At 45.9% G+C, this 13,823-nt stretch overlaps 1 pseudogene, besides 1 other annotated feature; it reads right to left on the bottom strand.

The window, feature by feature from the left end:
- Positions 1,564-2,127, bottom strand: PAFAH1B2P1 (PAFAH1B2 pseudogene 1; annotated as a pseudogene).
- Positions 10,370-10,948: an enhancer, noted in NCBI's record as "H3K4me1 hESC enhancer chrX:25038709-25039287 (GRCh37/hg19 assembly coordinates)". NCBI's record gives its function as "activates a minimal SCP1, AML or CMV promoter by ChIP-STARR-seq in naive H9 embryonic stem cells {active_cell/tissue: H9 hESC(naive)}" and the evidence as "EXISTENCE:reporter gene assay evidence [ECO:0000049][PMID:30033119]".

Below are 13,823 nucleotides of genomic sequence, written 5' to 3'. Positions count from 1 at the left end.
GTGATATGGAATGGGAAACAGAGTTCTGATTCCCTACCCCCCAACCACCCAGCAAAAAAAAAAAAAAAAAAAAACTGTAACAGGTTTTAAGGGAAAAACAAAACAAACCAGAACTCCGAATATGAATAGCAATACACAGACTCTATAGCACAGAATACCACACAAGAATGAATTTTATAGCAGTACTATCATAAGAGTAGCTGGCTAGAGACTATACTTCCAGCAACAGGGCTCCTAGGTCGAAAATGTGTTAAAAGCTTGTAATGTCAACAAGGACCAAAAAAAAGAAAAAAAAAAGAGGGGATGATGGGGAAACGGGAGGAAAGGCTGCATGCACGGGTCCATTATAGACATGATATTCAGCAGCATAAAAATAATACCCTCCAAAGAGTCCCCCTACTGGGGCAAAACCTGTTTCTCACTGCTAAGGACAGGAAAGATTAAGAAAGCAGAATAAATTCACTTGTAACTATAGCATCTTCCATATTTGAATGACAAGCATGTTCAACCTGATGCTGCATGTTAAGAAAATATTCAGCCAGGCACGGCAGCTCACTTTGGGAGGCTGAGGTGGGCGGATCACGAGGTCAGGAGTTCGAGAGCAGCCTGACCAAGATGTTGAAACCCCATCTCTGCTAAAAATACAAAAATTAGCCAGGCGTGGTGGTGGGTGCCCGTAGTCCCAGCTACTCGGGAGGCTGAGGCAAAGAATCGCTTGAACCCGGGAGGCGGAGGTTGCAGTGAGTCAAGATCGCGCCACTGCACTCCAGCCTGGTGACAGAGCAAGATTCCATCTTAAAAAAAAAAAAAGAAAGAAAAAGAAAACATTCAATATGCATATGAATCTAAGCAACATAAAAACCAAAGACTAAATTATGAACCTTAAAAAAATGGAAAAAAAATGTTTTAAAGCCAAGTAGGTATGATTCTAAGAATTATTATATACAATGTAATCCAAGAAAGGCCAAGAAAAGAATCTTCATGTTGTTCAGTATTTAGGCTTGATGTTGTCCTAGGAAAGCAGTAATAATTCAATGAACATGTTACATATACAACTAAAAAGTCCCCTTCTGGTTTCAAATGAATTGAAACAACAATCTTCCTTGGCTAATTTTTCTCCTCTGTCAAACAAATTTTCTATGTACAGGACCAGTTTAAACCCCTCCTCCCCTTCAAACACTAGATATGAACATCCAGGAACATTCTTCAATGCAAAGTGCCTTAAGAAAGAGAAGGATTCTGGAGTGCTGGTGATATAACTGATCTGAGGAAGCTGAGATGCTATTGACACTCATGGGAGCCAGTCAGGCAATGGTGGTTTGTTTCTCCTCAGGTGTTTCCTCCAACAACTGCATGATCAGTTCATTCAAGGGTTTGCAGACCTTTGAGTAGCCACCTCCTGTCAAATGCAGAAAATCAAACATGTCGTGGCAGGAGATGGCACGGTCGGAGTGCACGAAACCCCTGTCAGTATCCAGGAGCTGCACGTTGGTTAAGTTTCAGCAGCGAAATCTTGACGAGTGGGTTCACCTTGGCGTTCTTTTGCCTCAAAGGGTTGGGTTTCTCACCTTGAGGTAACAGATCAAATACAATGATTTTGGCCTGTGGCTGCCTTGTGTTGATAAGTTGTACGATGGCCGCCATACCACCTGCTACCTCTTCTGCCATATTTTCATGGTTGTTTCTTCCTAGCCAGAAAACAATGACCTTAGGCTTAGTATTCCCCAGTTCTCCGCTCTTTAGTCTCCACAAAACATGTCTTGTTGTATCTCCCCCAGTTCCAAAATTCAGTGCATGAAGTGGGGAAAAAAGCTCTCGCCATATCTCATATGGCTGCAGTAACTGCACCACGGAGCCTCCCGCAAATGGTACATCAGGCTGTTTGTCTTTACAGTCCAAAACAAATCTGTTGTGCTGACACATCCATCTGTCATCTCCTTGAATGTCTTCTGCCGCATGCGGAGTAGCTGCTGGGTTTGAGTCTCCTTGGTTCATTCTGCACTGAAGCAGAGGGTCCGTGCAGGCCCCAAGCGGCTGAGGCGTCGGCGGGTGTCATGTTTGTCGCTCCCTTGGTCAGGCGGCCCCACTCGGGCATATCCCTCCTCGGGCCCCAGTACCAGCAGCAGCCGGGAGTGACACAAAATTTGCAGTCTCTTTAACCCACCACCAAAAGAATGGATATTTGGATGCAATTAGCAGTCTTTGTCTCACATCCCTTCAAGACAAACCATCTAGAAGACTAAGAGAGGGACATTGGTCTATAAAACTCCTCTCTTTTAAGATGACTTCCTGGAAACACCACACAAAACGCGTCCTTCTCCAGAATTTAGTTAAATTGGCCACTCCTTCCTGAAAGGGAGGCCAAGAAATGTGGTCTTTCAGCTTGTGAAATAAACTCATGAAAACGCATGAAAATAAACACTGGCCATTATGCTTAGAAGCTAAAGGAAATCAGAGTAAAACTAACGATAATCTCACAGTGATTCTCATGCCAGCTTTTTATAAAGCTCTAGCAAACTTTTAAGACATAGCACCCGTGGGTAAAATAATTTGCACATTAGTAAGCAATTGAGAACAGATGAGTCATGGAAGAGGCAATACAATTGGCCAATTGTCACATGAAAAAATACTTGACCTCACTAATAATGAAAGAAACGCACATAAAAATAATAAGCTCTGCCAGGTGCAGTGGCTCATGCCTGTAATCCCAACACTTTGGGAGGCGGAGGAGGGGAGATCGCTTGAGCTCAGGAGTTTAAGAACAGCCTGGGCAACATGGCGAAACCCCGTCTCTACAAAAATACAAAGAATTAGCTGGGGGTGGTGGCATGTGCCTGTAGTCCCAGCTACTTCAGACGCTGAGGTGGGAAGATCACCTGAGCCCAGGAGGTCAAGGCTGCAGTGAGCCATGATTGCACCATTGCCCTCCAGCCTGGGTGACAGAGTTATCCCCTGTCTAAAATAATAATAATAATAATAATAAGCTCTTGGGTGTTCTTCATGAAACTAACAATATTTTACAAGATTGAAAATACCCAGAGCTATCAATGTTGTTTGTCAAAGTACAAAGTCAAATAGTCTTTTTAAAGGACATTTTGTCAATATCTATAGTTTAAACCATACATACCTTTAAATGGAGCAATTCCAGTCCTGAGTCAATATTCCATAAAAATAATTATACAAGCATTCAAAAACATATGTACAATAAGGCCAGGTGCTGTGGCTCACACCTGTAATCCCAGCACTTTGGGAGGCCAAGCCGGGCGGATCACTTGAGGTCAGGAGTTCAAGACCAGACTGGCCAACATGGTGGAAACCCATCTCTACTAAAAATACAAAAATTAGCCGGGTGTGGTGGGGCACACCTGTAGTCCCAGCTACTCAAGAGGCTGAGGTAGGAGAATCACTTGAGCCCAGGAGGAGGAGGTTGCAGTGAGCTGAGATCACACCACTGCACTCCAGCCTGGGTGACAGAGCAAGACTCTGTCTCAAAAAAAAAAAAAAAAAAAGCATGTAAAATAATGTGCATTTCAGTATTCATGTGTCACACAATATAAGCTGACTTTTATTTAGCATCTATAGTGTAGCACAGTGCTGCAGGTACTTTTATCATCTTCAATTTTCAGGTGAAGAAACTGAAGGTTAATTTGATTGCCCATGGCTACAGAGCCAGAAGTGGAAAGAATTGGCTCCAAGCCCTGTCTCATTGATTCCAGAGCCCAGGGCCTCATATACTGCACATTCTGTTACAGATGTCTTCCAAACCTTGCCGAGCATGGCAGATGTGCACTGCTTTAGGATTACCTTTCTTTCTTTTTTTTTTTTTTTTTTTTTTTTGAGACGGAGTTTTGCTCTTGTTGCCCAGGCTGGAGTGCAGTGGCACAATCTCGGCTCACTGCAAACTCCACCTCCCAAGTTCAAGTGATTCTCCTGCCTCAGCCTCCCGAGTAGCTGGAATCAAGGCGCCCGCCACCACACCTGGCTAATTGTTTGTATTTTTTTAGTAGAGATGGGGTTTCACCATGTTAACCAGGCTGGTCTCGAACTCCTGACCTCAGGTGATCCACCCGCCTTACAGGTGTGAGCCACCGTGCCCGGCCAGGATTACCTTTCTTCTCATGTATTCTTGTCGTCTTAGTTCAAGCCATTCAGACAGGCAAGAGATAGAGATGCTGGAGTGAGGGGGAAGATACCGAGCATAGAGTTAGGAGAACTAGAGTCAAGTATAGAGTTTTTTAAATCACCATATTTTGAGGCGGGGGTGGCAGGGGGAAGCTGTAATACATAATGCTGGCAAGGTTGTAGCAAAATTGGTACATTCATGTAAAGGTAGTGTCAATTGGTTCAACCAGTTGGAGACATTTTGGCAATATTTCAAGAGACTAAAATGTTCATACGCTTTAATCAGTAATCCCACTCTCAGGAAATTATGTAAAGGAAATAATGCAAAAGAATAAGTTAGGTGCCCAAAGGTTTTCATTACAATGCTATTTGCGATAGCAAACAATTAAAATAACACAAATGTCTAATATGGGGGAATGATTAAGCAACGATTAAGAGTTTGTGTTTGACAAGAACCACAGCTGTTCACCTTTTTTCTCAGAATCCTTTGGCTCATCAAGCCCTGATCCTCACGCAGCCCCGGGTGCTTGTGTTAAATAAAACAACAACAGTCATCAAGGCACATTTTAGCTCTGCGGAACCAGAATGGAGTCAGCCCAATGTTTTCTTCACATGTAAAAAACTGAGAACAGCTCCACCTGCCCTCTTTTAGCTCTGCATAAGTCTCTGGTCTTTAGCACATTTGCTGTTTACAGTTGCAACTCCCTCACAGTTTTCTCGTCATTTCCAAAATGTTTTCTTCCCTGAAGTTGTGCCTAAGCTTCTGGCATTCAGGATGCCCGCCAGGAGAGGCTCTGGGGCCTGGCTGCCTCCAGCATCAGCATGACAGAGGCCAAATCGCCACTTTACGAACTGCAGAGCCTCACCAAGAGATGACCTATAATTATAAGAAATACAACAAATAGTGATTATTTTTATTGATGTCAAACTGCATTTTTACAATGAGCTGTGTTCCAAGTGAGAATGCCTTCTTTCCCGGCCAATGCCCAGCTACAACCTGCTTACCAACTCCATGCGCAGAACATCATCAGTTCTTGCAGGTTTGTCCGAAAGGTCCTAGAGAAGCTGTTTGGAAACAATGTCCACTGCAGGGGGCTGCCAGTTTTGAGGATGACGTGAGGTGGAACAATGACCATCATTAGTGAACAATAATGGAATCAGAACAATACACCAAATGCTTTAGGGAGTTAAAATGTTCCCTGCCTAATGGCCACATGTGCCATATAATTATTTTCTTTGTGTACTTATTGCAATTTTGAAATTGTCTTTCATTATAAATTGTGTTTACAATATAGGTGACCTCCTTTTGCTACATATTCTAATACTGCCAGGTCGTGATGTTTCTCAATATGGTAGATGTCTTTTTCTTGGATGTGTTTATTTATTTAGCTCCTTACTTCTAAGATTTTTTTAAAGCTGCTTTCTTTTCTACAAAACCTCTTTCAGAAGGTAGCTGAAAGTAGAAAGGAGGTGTGATTTGTTAGTCCCAAATTTTAGTCATCCACCCACTACTAGCAAGCTCTGTGACTGTGGACAAGTCAGTTCATCTCTCTCTAATGCCCCAAGTTACTCATTCTGTAAAAATGGGTGAGATTTACAGAGGATAAGAGCAGCAGATTCCAGAGTCAGACTGCCTAGCTCATTCCCATCCTGGCTCCACCTCTCCGACCTTGGGCAAACTACTTCTCCCTGTGCCTCAGGTGAGCAACCATCGCAGTTTGCCTGGGATTGAGGGATTTCCCAGGATACAGGACTTTCACCTGGAAACCCAGGCAAATCCTGGGAAAACCAGGCTGAATTGGACACCCTCTCTGTGCCTCGGTTTTCTCATCTGTAAAAGAGGGATTCTAATAGAACCATCGCTATATGATTGTCTGGAGGATTCGTTGATCCGTGTGAAAAGCACTTAGAGCAGCCGTCTAGCATTTTGGTGTTCTTTATATGAAGGAAACATTTTTTTTTTTGAGATAGAGTCTTGCTGTATCACCCAAGCTGGAGTGCAGTGGCACGATCTCAGCTCACTGCAACGTCTGCCTCCTGGGTTCAAGCAATTCTCCCACCTCAGCCTCCTGAGTAGCTGGGATTACAGGTGCGTGCCACAATGCCTGGCTCATTTTTTTGTATTTTTAGTAGAGACAAGGTTTCACCATGTTGACCAGGCTGGTCTCAAACTCCTGACCTCAAGTGATCCGCCCACCTTGGCCTCCCAAAGTGCTGGGATTACAGGCCTGAGCCACCACACCTGGCCAGGAAACACATTTTAAGTACTGGCAAAGAGTAAGCACTCAGTCTGTGCCACCTTTTATTCTCAGGATTGTCTTCTCTTAGGCATCTTCTGTCTCTCTCTTCCATCCCCCTCTGATACTATTTCACCATCCCCTTTCTCCTCTCTTCTATTTAATAGCTTAAAGACTTAAATGTGAGCATAGTTTGTATTAAACCCGACATGCTGTGAAATCCTTTGTTTCACTTACCACTACAGACAATACCAATGATGCCTTCGAAATGTTTTTAAGCAATTTAATATAGCTCTCATTGGAATGTCACAATTTTCAAAGTTATAGTTCAATCTCCTTTTAGTGTAATGCAATAAAAAGGTTACTCTAATGTCATTTCCTTCGTATAAATAACATCAAAATGCTTCAACCCAGAAGCTGAAGAAGAGAGAAAGAGGGTGAGGAGAAACAGGTAAGAATTGGTCCATGATGACATGCAAGGGCAGCATTGCCTGGGCCGGTTTCCCTCTCTGTCTTTGACAAGACATTTCTGGGTGAGATATTTTTGCATTCCATGCAGTGGGAGCGAAGCCTGACCAATGGGATCCTGGGAAGGTGGGGGGACAGCTGTTGAAGAGATGGCTGGGAACAAATGAATGCAGAGAAAACCTCCATAAACAAGGCTCCCTTTGAGAGGAAAACAGGAGGACTCAACATATGCCAGATGGAAGTGGGACCTCCTAGGGAATGGAGCCTTGGGACAGCCCTCTCTGCTTCTTTTTCTTTTCCCAATCTGTGATGCCTAATAACTAAATAGGCCATATTTTTGGAGGAGATCAAGAGAAATGAGTGAAAGAAAGGACAGGCATTTTCTCTGATGATCAGTCCCTTTTGCAGTTGGCAGAGAGTAAAAAGCCCCTCCTCGATATTTTTGCAGGTTGTGTTGGGGGGGAGGGCAGAAATTAAATCAGCCTATCTTTGTTTATAACTCTCTGTGTGGGGTACACACCCCAAAAGCCAGGCCTGCATGAGGAAGGAAGGAAGGAAGGAAGCAAGCAAGGAAGGAAGGAAGGAAGAAAGGAAGGAAGGAAGAAGAAAGAAAGAGAGAAAGAAAGAAAGAAAGAGAAAAGAAAGAGAAAGCAAGCTAGCTTAGAATTGACTCCATAGTGTGAAAGATTGTCAACAACAGCATTTTCTATTTGTACTGTTTAAGATAGTGTTGGTGGTCTCTTCATTTGTCAGAAAAGGGAAATTTTACACCTGTTAGATTATAGTCTTGCAGCTATTTATTAGGTAGAACGTACAGTGACAGATAACGCCAACTCCCTATTATCCATGAAAAAGAAATATGTAAAAATCACTCCTATGTCTAAACTTCACTTGAACCGTGGGTTTCAATCGCCTTTCTTTCCAGCCTTTCTGGGATTCTCTAAGCAAAATACGTTGCTTTTAATTTCTTTTTAGTCCCTTGCAAGCCTTAAACCGTAGGAGTAATGAACAATGAAATGGCCCCAACAGCAGTAATGGGAGAATTGAGGGAAAAGAATGAGGCCTGGTTAAATAAGGGAAAAGATCAATCAGCGCCCACCTCATGAGGATGAAACATCAAGTGCCATTTGCCCAAATAAAAGTACCTACTACACTCCCACAGCCACAGTGCAATTTTCTGGTTCGGGAAAGATGTTCCTGGGTACCAGAACTGTACTAAGACCTGCAAAGCCTAAAGTGGGGGCAAAGAATGTGATGTTGATTAGAGGCGTGCAACACAAAATTTCATGCGATTGTGAGAAATCTACAATTTCCTACTCAAAAACAAATCCGTTTGAGATTTCATTTAATCTCCAAAGAAAAAACAGCTAAGGCTCACTTTCTGTGCATTAGCATCTGAGTAGATGTATTTGCTCTCCTCCTCCCACTCCTTCTGCCTCCACTCTCCGCCTGCACCTGCTACCACCACGGTCATTTTCGAGGCGCGATCGAGTCTGTGCGTCCTGGGGGCCCCTCGGTCACGAGCCCCACGCGGAGCCCGGCGCCTCTCCTCCCAGGCCCTCCCAGCCTGCGCCCTCTCGCGGGCGCCCCTAAGTCCAGCGTCCTCATTCACCCGCGCCATTGGGGCCACCGGGGGTCGGGTCTTGGCTTTGTTCACCGGGTCCCCGAGACCCTGGAGGCGATTTGACAAGGGGCGTCGGGGCCGCCGCCGCAACGCCCCCAAGTAGCGCGGCCCCAGCAGGGCGCCCGGAGCTCCCCTGCCCCCGGGCTCCTGCACCTCCTTCCAGACAGGGAAACCGAGGCCGCCTCGGGCAAGCGGTGCCCTGAGGAGGGCCCTGCCCGGGGTGACCGGTTAGAAGAGGAGGTGACGCCGTCGGTGCCGAACAGGCCCGGCCTCAGCGGCCCCACGAGGCCCCTAGGCCGTGAGTGCCCCAGTTCTCCGCCACCGTCGCTGTCCCAACCTCAGCCTGGGAGCCGTCTCCCTTCCCTCAAAGATGCTGGGTGTCCTCAAAAGGGATCCCGGGTGGGCTGGAAAGTCGGGAGCAGAGTGGGGGTGGTTGGGAGGAGGATAGCACTGCCCCGGGTTTGGAGGAGTCCTCTATTTTTTCCCCCTTCTGTTCAGCTATTTGTGTTTTCTGATCGGGGAAGTGATTTGCGGCAGGAAATTAGATATCTTTATTCCAGAAACACTGTGGTTCTAATGGTATCTATTCCAGAGCCGGCTCCGTCTTAGTAGCGGGCTTTTTTTTTTTTTTCTTTTTCTTTCTTTCTTTCTTTTTTTTTTTCACTTGCAGGTTATTTTGCGATGAAGGGAACAGAGGGCTGTGCAGCCCGGCATCTTTCCTCCTCCCTTCCACACAATACAACTCTTAATTAAACACAGGGACACCCACACCTCCCTTCCCACAGGACCCCTTCCATCTGCTCCTCCCGCTCTGAAATACCAGCCTTGTATGGGCAGGGAAAGCCTCGTGTTGAACTTCCCAATTAGCAAGACACATCGCAAAATAAGGGACTCTGGGAGCTGTTGTCGCTACTATTTTTGGATTCTTCCTTTCTAGGCCCTACCTAGTAAGTGTTTTGGTGGCCTTGGTATAACTTTAAAATCCTGCAGGTCTTTAGAAGCACGATTTCTGTTTTTCTGATTGATGAGTTCAGATTGACACACTCGGTGCAAAAGAAGTAAGTTATGGATCGATTTGAACTGGGAATTTTTTACATTTGTAAAAGCTTCGTCTTTAACTTTTTTTTTTTAAACCAGAGGTTGTAAGGGCTTCAAGAAAATTCAGTTATTTCCAGGTTGAACAAGTCAAAGAGGGTTGGACAAGAACCCTGCATTTCTCTTTTCTCAATTTCTGGCCAGACCAAGAGGGAGTAGGTAATGTATGAGTAGTGGAAGTAGTGGAAGCTGGGATTTGAGGATTTCCAGAGGCAAATGTTGCAGGAGAAGTGAAAGGAGTGGGAGAGGAGGATGCCTGGGGGGAGATGGAGCAGGGTGGTGGCCCAGAAGTCCATCAAGTCAGAAGATGGAGAAATCCCAGAGACGGGAGGTAGGGGATCATCTAGTCAAAAAGTGGACACTCCTAGCTTCAGAAGATGGGAGCCCCAAAATCTGAGCTCAGGGAACTTAGAATCACAGAGTGGGGTATTCTCAAATCAGAAGATAGGAGGGGACCATGAGTGATATGAAGGTACCACAGAGGCCGATGTCAAATCAGAGAAATCTCAGAGTAGCTGCCTTCGGACGATCCTCCACCACCACCACCAACACCAGGCACTGAGGAATCTAAGGGCTCAGGCCGCCAGGCCTCCATGAACACCCCAGAGACTGCAGATTCAGACTTCCTGACTGGTGTCGCATCCTCGGCACGCTTGCCTTGGCCCCACCCCCAATTATTTCACTTCTCAGTCCAGCGTTTCCCGAGGTTCGCCGACAAGAATCCACCCAGCAATTATCTCCCTTCTCGCGCGCATGGGGGGACATTAACCACGAACGCGCTGGAGAAGAAAGGTACAGATGGGTCTTTTATTGAACACTTGGAAATGTTTCCAAGGCTTTTGTTTTTTTCCCCCATTCATTCCTGCCGGATCACTGGGCTCTGCCAACTTCAGTCCCCAGAGGTTGCGGCAGGAGAGCCCGGCCCACTCGGAGCCCCCGCTAGGGGGCGCGCTCTGGCCGTGGCGCTGAGCCGAGCCCGAAAAGGGGGCTGAGGTGGGGAGGCTGGGGGTGCGGACGCCGACAGCCCAGCTCCGGTCCGCGCGGCCTGGGAATTGACACACGCGTTGGGTAGCCCGCTGCATCTTACTCTAGCTCCAATCTGTGCCCACCCGTCCCCACCCTCCACCCCGTCCAGGGTCGCCCGGAGCAGCAGCTACTGAGTCAACGCTGCACCGGGGACGCCTCGACCCTGGCCGCAGGCGGGGTCCCGCCGTCCGGCGGAGGAGAGGAGAAAGCAGATGGTGGTGATTACAGGGCACAGTAAAGTTTCCCTCTCTCTCAGGTCTGGAAACCTGGAGGGATGGGTGCGGCAGGAGATGGGGAACTCCCGCCAAGGAACTCCGTGAGAGCTCAGAGCCCAACCACCTGCTTCTCGCCCGTGGGAGGGGACACACACCCCCTCTTCTGAGAGCAGACAGGAGGCTGCGACCATCTCGTCCAGCTTTATGCTTGGAGCAAAGCTTGAAAAAGCCTCGGCTGCCGCCCGGATGGCTGATGGTGGTGGCGGTGAGGGGGTCTCTTTCCTCTCTAGTTCTTGCTCCCCCACCCCCTCCCCCGGCTGCTGACGGGCAACAGAAAGTGAGGAAGTTTGCAAATAAGGGGAGTTGTCCTAACATAGCCATCACACTCACGCGTCCATACCTTGAGGGCTCGGCCGTGGTCCTCGGGAGGCTTCCAAAAAAGCTGCTTCCCAACAAACCTCTCCCAGCCAAGCCCTAACTGTGGAACCCACGGCTTAGGAGGAGGACACGGCGAAGAGGGAAGGATTAGCAAACGCGACAGAGTCTTCCCAGGAAATCCAAGTTCTATCAGTCCCTTTGGACCTTTCCACGGGCTGTTTCTTTGAAAATACATCAACAAATAAACACCGTCCACAGAGAGATCCCAACAGCCGTGGGGAGAACTGAGGCAGGGTAGGAAGTGGAGAGCACGCAGGAGGCCAAGAAGGCGAGGGGCAAGTTCTAGGCAAGCGGATTATGTTACACTTCCTCCTATTACCAGACTTCCAGGAGGAGACACCTCGATTTGTGCATAAAATGCATACCCTGAAGTGGATAAGACTCTGAAAGCAGCGTTTGAGGAGGTTAACCTTGACTGGTTGGAGTTAAGGGGGGGTGGGGGGAAGCAAATATTTCTGTTTGTGCCCTCCGGCTCTTCCCAGCACCGGCTGTCAATCCCGACGCTTGTTATCCTCACAAGGCTTCAGTTTGTTTGCCTGATCTCAGCAAGGTTTTCTTCCACAAGTAGAACTATAATTGCTATAATTCTACTGTATCATTTGGATCATTGCAGTATTGTTGTTTTCTCTCTCTCTTTCTCTCCTCCTAACACTGCAATAACGCGCTCCAGTGTTAAATTAGCAGGTTGCGGAAGACCATAAATGAATGAAAGTTTGTTTAAAAAAAAAAAAGAAATTAAATAAATAAAACAGCAAAATGACTTGGCAAAAGGGATATCACATCACAGAGAATCCTTGCGTGTAATCAGGTCTTATTGTCTTCTCTTCCAGTGGCTTCCAAATTGGTCGCTAGATTCCAATGAAGTTTATTTCTATTGTTTAAATATATGTTTTGAAGAGGCTGATCGTAATTTAAGGGGACCTGAGCCGTCCGGTGCAACTGGAAGCCCATCACAGCTTGATTTATCTATGTGTATATTGCACAATAAATTAAAACATCTCAAATGAAAAGTATGTGAGGTTAACTCTCTTCCAAACATTTTTTTTTTCTGGATAATGACATCTAACTGCCACCCCCCCTTATTCCACATTTCTTGCAAATGTAATTTTAAAACTATAATGTAGAATTAGCTCTCAGAAAAGAAAGGGGTTTCTCCTTCCACTCTCCTCTTCTAGGTAAATTATTATTTCCAGTTCTAGGAACAAGCCCCATTTTTCACCATAAACAACAGTTCTAAACACATGTGACCTTCACTTCCAGCCATTATTGTCATTTTTATTTAGTGATTGATTTTAAAAGCAGATAAACTGCAAACCATTGTTTTCCAAGCAGACCAGGAAAAGCAAACCAACAGCTACAGACCCCAAAGATTAGAGGAGCCAGGACTTGTGAATAACAAAGTACAAACAAGAATGATATTATCACTAAAATGCAATTACTTTTGATTAGTGAGTAAAAGTGAGGCAAAAAGAAAGTGAAGTGTCGTTTTCCTGGCAAAGTAAAATTAAATTGGGCTAAACTGTAAGTTCTTTCATACGTAATCCTATAGCCCAATTCTTAAAAGTCTGCCCACTCAACACATCAGTTACCCTCTTCCTAGATATTAGACGCATAATTTTGTTTCTAAAATGATATATAGAATAACATATTTTATATATATATATATATATATATAATCCCATATCCTGATTAGGCATTGTGGAGACCACAGCACAGTCTTATGTCTCTCTACCCAGCACCTTAGAAAAGTTTTCTGTAATTTTTTAAATTTAATCTCTTAGAAATAGCAAAAGTTAATTGTAGATTTTTGAAGTTGGGTATTGGATTGTGACAAAGGTGGTCTCAGGGCCACTGGGTGTAGAGTGAGCTAGGTCAGGCCCTTCTCCCCGAGGTGAATGGACGTGTTTCCCAATAGCATCCTCACTTGGGAAGATTGATTAGAAAATAACAAAAATAAATAAAATAACAGAACAAATAAAACTAGTGTTTTCACACAGGTCTCCCCCGAAAACACTTTATATTCCATTAATAGAATTAGATCTAATTCCAGGGATCATTAAGTCAGAATCAGAAATTCTTTGTTAACCTCCCCTTTTACAGTGGATGATTAAAATTAGAATACACCCCAGCAGAAAGTCCGACTTCTTTTAAAAGAAGAACAGCTGCACAAGGGGGAGGAGGGGGGATGGAGGCAAAGAAGTCTTCCACCCAGAGAGCTGAAACTCCGTTGGGCTCTCAGAAATGATTTGTGCATTTGTGTTTTTGTTTAACACGATCTTTCTTGGACTCATTTTCAGCCCACTCCCTGCGTGTGCGGAGCCGACTCTGAAGTCACTGAGCCACCCGGCAGCCGGGTCTTGTGGATTTCCAACGCGGGGCCCGCCGGGGAGGGAAAAGTGCCTCCGTCTCTCCCAACCACCAAGCCGCAGGGACGCCCGCGAGGGTCCGCGGCTGGAGGCTAGGAGGAAACCGAAGTGTCTTTACTCCTCTTGGCTGCGATGAGACCCGCGCGCCTGGAATGGGCTTTCGGGGCCGGGGGAGGGAATGTGGGAGGAAATCAGCGCGCAGAATGTTAGTTTAAAGCTGAACCGGACGGTG

The sequence above is a fragment of the Homo sapiens genome, chromosome X, assembly GCF_000001405.40.
Source record: "Homo sapiens chromosome X, GRCh38.p14 Primary Assembly".
NCBI classification, from domain to species: domain Eukaryota; kingdom Metazoa; phylum Chordata; class Mammalia; order Primates; family Hominidae; genus Homo; species Homo sapiens.
This window is presented reverse-complemented; position numbering and strand designations above follow the sequence as displayed.